General features: G+C 46.3%; 1 annotated feature.

Annotated features, from left to right (window-relative positions):
* Nucleotides 2,888–3,791: an enhancer, noted in NCBI's record as "H3K27ac-H3K4me1 hESC enhancer chr5:72731449-72732352 (GRCh37/hg19 assembly coordinates)". NCBI's record gives its function as "activates a minimal SCP1, AML or CMV promoter by ChIP-STARR-seq in naive H9 embryonic stem cells {active_cell/tissue: H9 hESC(naive)}" and the evidence as "EXISTENCE:reporter gene assay evidence [ECO:0000049][PMID:30033119]".

Here is a 6,002-nt window from a genome sequence, read left to right as displayed (position 1 = left end):
TAACTTTCCCTTTCTAAAATAAACAAACCACTGGTGTTTTAAATCTGCTCTTCTAGTCTCTTGCTCTATTTCTTTCCTCTACTTATCTACTGATCATCTATTTAACCTCTAAGCTTTGAAAAGTGGGATTAGTCTGCACTATTTATTGAGCACCTGCTATATTGCAAATCCCTTTACTCCTGCTTTAAATATAAGAAACAAATTAAAGAATTCCTGCCACCAATAAGCACTCGCTATGGAACAACAAGAGCAAGCCATTTTAGCAGGAAACAATGGGATGGAGGGAAAGTTAGCAAGATATATTTTTAAAATCTCTCCATTAAAACGATTTCTTTTCATTACCAAAAATCTCCCTAGTGTCTAAATGAAACTAATAATAGCTTCTTGACAATATCTTTCTCGTGTTGCCAATTTACTCACAAAATGACTAAAACGCCTGAGCACCTTTGCCTATGTGGTATGGAGGCAACTCAGTGCCAGAAGTTTCCAGGCACTGTGAATTTGAATTTCTTCCCAAGTGTTTACAGCTTTTTACTAATAGATTGAATCCTATCCCTAGCTGCCAGTTTTCTGTGAAGAGCTGAAAAGGAGGAGGGTGATGGTTTGTGCTCAGGCCCTCAGATATCATTGTGAACAGAGACAGTCACCTATTCCGAATGAGTTTAGGCTCACATGGGTTTGTGGAGAGTTAAATACAGAGACCCAGTAAAACAAAAACAACAAAAACCCTAGGGCACTTTTTTTCTTTTTGCAGGCTTAAACATTTTATTACAAATAAAAAAATTAAAATTAAACCAGGTATATTTTCCTTGCTAAACTTTTAAATAAACACTTTCCCACTTGCTGAAGTTGTAGTCGCATCTTCAAAAGGCAGACAGCAAATCCAGGTTTTGGACCACGGGGGGTGGTGCATAAGCACCCAAGAGTTTTTCTGCATTTATTTCACCTTTAAGTTGTCATTGCTAAGGAACTGCTTCCAAATCACCAAGTTTGGGTCTTGGCGTTTTTTGTTTTTTTTTTTTTTGTCTCCAGAAGTAACTGGGAGTACAGAGGAGAAAAATAAAATGTTGAGGCATTCTGTGCTCTGTTTTTCTATTTAAGGAATTTACTATTTCTTTGCCTTCCTCCCCCCTTCCTGGCCTCCCTCCCTATCTGCATAGATAGCAGGACTCCAGCAAACTATATCCCACAGGTCTTTAGAGTTATGTAGGATAGGATCCCTTATTTTAGGGAGTTGGTGGGCGCGGGTTGTTACTGTAACTCTATTCTGTAACTAAAGCTCTGGCATGTAATAAATCTCTCCCCAAAGACTTTTGGATCTTTGATTTGAAAAATCGGATTCCTTTTGTGGAAACAGTTGACAGGAACCTAAAAGGATTAGTTGCATTCCACATAGGATAATTTTTACTGGCAACATTTTGAAACGATTTGGTCCCTTTCAGACCTTAAACAATGTCCAGAAAAATGATCTAACGAGACTTTTATTGTTTTCCTTTGTGTGTGAATCCGCTTGCGCCAACATCTCGATGGGGTTTTGACGGTTTTGCTCCTGAGCAGGGCACTGAATTAATTTCTGATCGCCGTTTCGACTCGGTTAGTTACCTCCTTCGGCCAGGGGCCTGGCGGTGTTTTCCAGGCGTCAGCCCTTGAAATGGCAACAGGAGCGGGAGGCTCGGCCTCTCGGTGGCGCTGTGTCCGGGAGGGACGCGGGGGCCGCTGCCCGCTCGCCCGGGGCCCCGGCAGCTCCGGCGCCTGACGTCGTAGGGGCCGACGAGGCAGCGCGCACGCCCCAAACTGCCATCGTCAAACGCTCCCGGGGCCCTCCATCCACGGGAATGAGACGCGGAAAGGGAGATAATTCGGCTTCTCTCTCTCCTCCAACCGCCCCCCTCCTAAAGCCCCAAGCACAAAGCCGAGAGCGGCCCGCCTTCCCCTCGCAGAAGGCCGCCGAGCTGCTGCGAACCAGCCGCGGGCCACGGCGCCCCCCGCCCTCCAGCCTTCTCCACTGTTTATTTTGTTGTCAGCGGACTTATCAAGATGTTAGTTTGCTGGAGGTTCTGACCTGCCCGGGCGCTTTGGCTGCTCGGCCCGGGCTTTCCCCTCTGTTTTTACACCTGCATAAACTCCACCGCACTCCCCTGTCTGATTTATAGCCCAATTAAAGGTTCAGTGTTCTCCAAGCCACCCGGGCTGCTCCCTTCCCCGCCTCCCGCCGGCTGTGGCGAGCGCAGGAATGCGCGAGGCCGCGCCTAAGGCCGGGCCGCGGCCGAGGCGGTTCTGCGCCCAGCGACCCTCAGGAGCGGCGGCGCGAATGAACGGCCTGCGCCCGGAGAAGGGCAGAGAAACCTCGGGCACATCACCCAACAGCCGCGAGCAGAAAGGCCGCGTCCCCAGCCCAGAGTGATTTCCTTCCTGGGGTTTCGGCCTGAGTGGGACGAGGCGCTCCCCCGACAGCATGCGAGGCCGGGACGGGAGGGCGCTGGGAGCTGCCACGTGGCGCAGCCCGACGCGGAGGCCAGGGGTCCGGCCGCTACGCCGCGCCTCCCCACGATTTTCCGGGTGAGGAAGGGGCGGCCGCGGGGCCCGGCGGGGCGGAGAGGCTCCGGGCTGGGGCGGGAGGCCGTGCCCGCTCCACCGCGGCCCTACCTTCCCGCCCGCCTCGCTCGGCGAAGGCCGGAGACCGCGGCCTGGAGACGCTCCCCGGGGTAGCGGGTGCTTCCAGCTGCCGGGCTCCGGCTGTGGGCGGGAGGCGCGGGGGGTCAAAGACCGCCCAGCCTGCGATCCGGCCAGAGCCCAGCCCCAGCGCGGGCTTCGGCTCCAACTTCCTTCTTTGCGGCCTTTTCTTTACGCAGAGAATAAGCGGCAACCCAGCCGAGATTGGCAGCATTGAGCATCTTCCTAACCCAACTCTGTCTTCTTTCCATCTATCAATCCACCTTTCTAATTAGACTAATTAGGAGCGCTCTGGAGTGTCGCTAGGCCCGGGGACTGAACCGCTTAGGGGTTGTGAAAAGACGCCTGAATGGCCTCGCTGGGGGCCGGGCGGGGGCCTTTGCGACCCATTCAGCACAGAGTAACAGTGGCTACATTTATCCCTGGCCATTGAAAAGAGGCTCGATTAAAACGTTTGGGAACTAATGCCACCCTGCATCCCCTCTCTAATTAGAGGAGCCCAGGGCGAAGGCGAGAGCGCCCGGGACCCCGCAGACACTAGTTCTGTGCGCTACTGCTTTCCGCCCTTTCAGCACAGCCGATTTCCTTCCCCGAGACAAAAGTCCGCCACCTCCCCACCTGTTGCCCGGTCCTTGCTTTCCCACCCATCCCGAGCCCCTTCGCCCTCATCCCAAGCTGAAGGCCCCGCCAACTGCGTTACAACGCACAGCCCAGACGTTGGGGTCAGCGGAGTGGAAAAAAGGCGCCTAGTTCCCTCCTTCTGTCTTGGAAAGCATCCTTTTGCATTCGGTAGGCTACACATTTTCCTCTCCATCTGTCTTCCGTATTTCTCACATACTTACCAGCTCCTCCCTCTCCTCGTCCTCACTTTTAGCAACATGGAATTTCCAAGTAAGCATTTGGGAATGAGAGGAAAGTGGGTCGGGTGCCATCCTGAAGTCACTATCTTGGCCAAACATTATGCTGTAGGAGTTCCTCGCTTGCGTAAATAATGTGTATTTTTTGTTACCAGTTTTTTTTAAAAGAAATGTGTGTGGAGCACCTACTGTGTGACTAGACAGACAGATTCTTACTATACTCCTCAGTCTTCTTCCTTCCCTCTTAAGTCCATCTCCAAATCTGTCTTAAGAAGTTAAACCTGACTTGGTTCAATTCCTTAGGCAAGCTGTTGATTCTGTCCCCATAGTTTATATGTAGATGTATTTTTTCTTTGTCTTTTTCATGGCTCATTAGAAAGAACTGCAGACACAGGATAACAGGGAAGCAAAAGAGAAATAGTAGACATATTGCAACTACAGATTTTGTGTGGGGAGGGCGTTGTTTGTTCCTTTTGTTGATGAGAAGTTATCTAATATTTTTACAAAAATTTGAAGCAAACTTTGCCCTAAAATAAAGGTGACCAAAAGGGGTTTGATTTCCTCTCTCTCTCTCTCTGTCTCTCTCTCTCTTCACCCCGCCCCCCATCCCCTTAATCCTTCTTTTTGGAAAAGAGCCAGATGTACAAAGAAATATCATCAGGTCACTGTTCTTGATCTTGTTAATTTAGAAAATAGAACCTCAGCAAAAGATGCTATTAACTAAATGTCAACCCACAGCATGCAAAATTCCTTGGATCCAAACTTCAAAAAAAGGAATGAAAGATGTCATGTGAGTGAAAGGAATCATGGAATTTTTAAAGGCCTAAACTGATCTTAATAGGGTTTTATTGCTTCCACACTCTGCTTCACAATATTTTAATTTCACAGTTACAGTATGCATGACATTGCACCATAAATCTAACTAGTTTAGAAACTGGGAGGGGCAGAGAAGAGGAAAGAGGTGAGAAAAGCAGTTCATTTGCATTGGAGAAAATGACAATTTGTAAGATGTAAAAATTCCTGGAAACTTTGAGAGGAAAAACCAAAATCGATTCTGCCTGTGATGTTATCACCAAACCTCTTATTTTTTTCATTTCAGTTGTTAGCTTAACTTTTAATTAAAGAATAACATAGATACAATAAAGTATCCAACTCCTAGTGTACATCTTGGTGAATTGTCCATATATATGCACCTGTGTAGCCACCAGAGGTACAGAGTATTTTAAACACCCCAGAAAACTCCTCTGTGCCTGTATCCAATAAATGTCATTCCACTTCCAACCACTGTTCTCATTTCTCTCACCACAGGTTAGTTTTACATGTTTTTGAACTTCATATAAATGAAATTATACAATATGTATGGAGTCTCTTGATTGACTTTTTTTTTACTCATCAGTATGTTTGTGATATTCATCTGTTCAAACTCCTATTTATAGAATAATATAAATGATAAGTCAATTTAGATAGATAAAGAATGGGAAGCAAATGCTGGAAAGCTTTATCTTAACCTGAAATTAAAACATATGACCCTCCTCAAACCCCAACATTTCATTATCAACTAACAGAGGTAATTTTATGATTATAAGTAAATAAAATGAAATGATTTACACATAGTAACTGCTAGTTACATCATTTTCAAGATGCAGTTGTGGGTAAATGTAAGTGGAGCAGAAGCCACAAGCTGTTTTGTAATTGGATTCTTTTCCTCCTTGCCATTTCATTCCCTAAGACTAGTAGTAAGCACTTTGGGCCTCTTCACAAAGAGTGGCATGAACTTGAGGGGGAAAGTAAATTGTATCCTGTGTGTTCCACCTCAGCCGTGCAAGTACTTAATGCAACAGCCTCTCAAGGGCACTTTGAATTCTGTTTGAAGTAAAGTGATCATTTTGCAACTAACATAGCAGTCTCTACTTTGTCTCATCTATGGGTCACCATACAGACCTATTAACTTTGAACAGAGCAAACCTGCAGAATTATGATTGTGCTGTTCACTCCTAGCATCCCCAGAAATCCACCCACAAAAGCCAGCCACAAAGCCAGAATTCACAGTAGAATTTATGCTGCGAGTGACCAACCAGAGGCAACCAGTGCAGCCCAACATTAGTCCTCCTTCCCTCAACAGAAACAGAAGGCAGCCAATAGGACTTTTTTTTTTCCAGGAAGGACAATATTTTTAGACAAAGGCATGTTTATGACGTGGGAGAAATTATAAGGGCAGGTGGAAGAGCCTGAAGTGAGTTTTTGGTCACTTATGCTGGACATTGGTAAACGAAGTGATGAACACATCTTTTTATAATTTTAAAGCTAAAAATCAGTATAAAATAAGGCTTGAAGTTCATACCCAGGAAGACAATGTGAAGGCAAAAATCCATCTCTTTTGAATTATCATAAGACCAAATACATTGAATCAGCAATTTCCAAAAATAATTAGAACTACTGACCTATTAGAATAGCTAAAATAGCAATAATACC

Source organism: Homo sapiens, chromosome 5 (assembly GCF_000001405.40).
Source record: "Homo sapiens chromosome 5, GRCh38.p14 Primary Assembly".
NCBI classification, from domain to species: domain Eukaryota; kingdom Metazoa; phylum Chordata; class Mammalia; order Primates; family Hominidae; genus Homo; species Homo sapiens.
The sequence above is the reverse complement of the archived record's forward strand: the minus strand, read 5'-3'. Positions and strand labels throughout refer to the sequence as shown.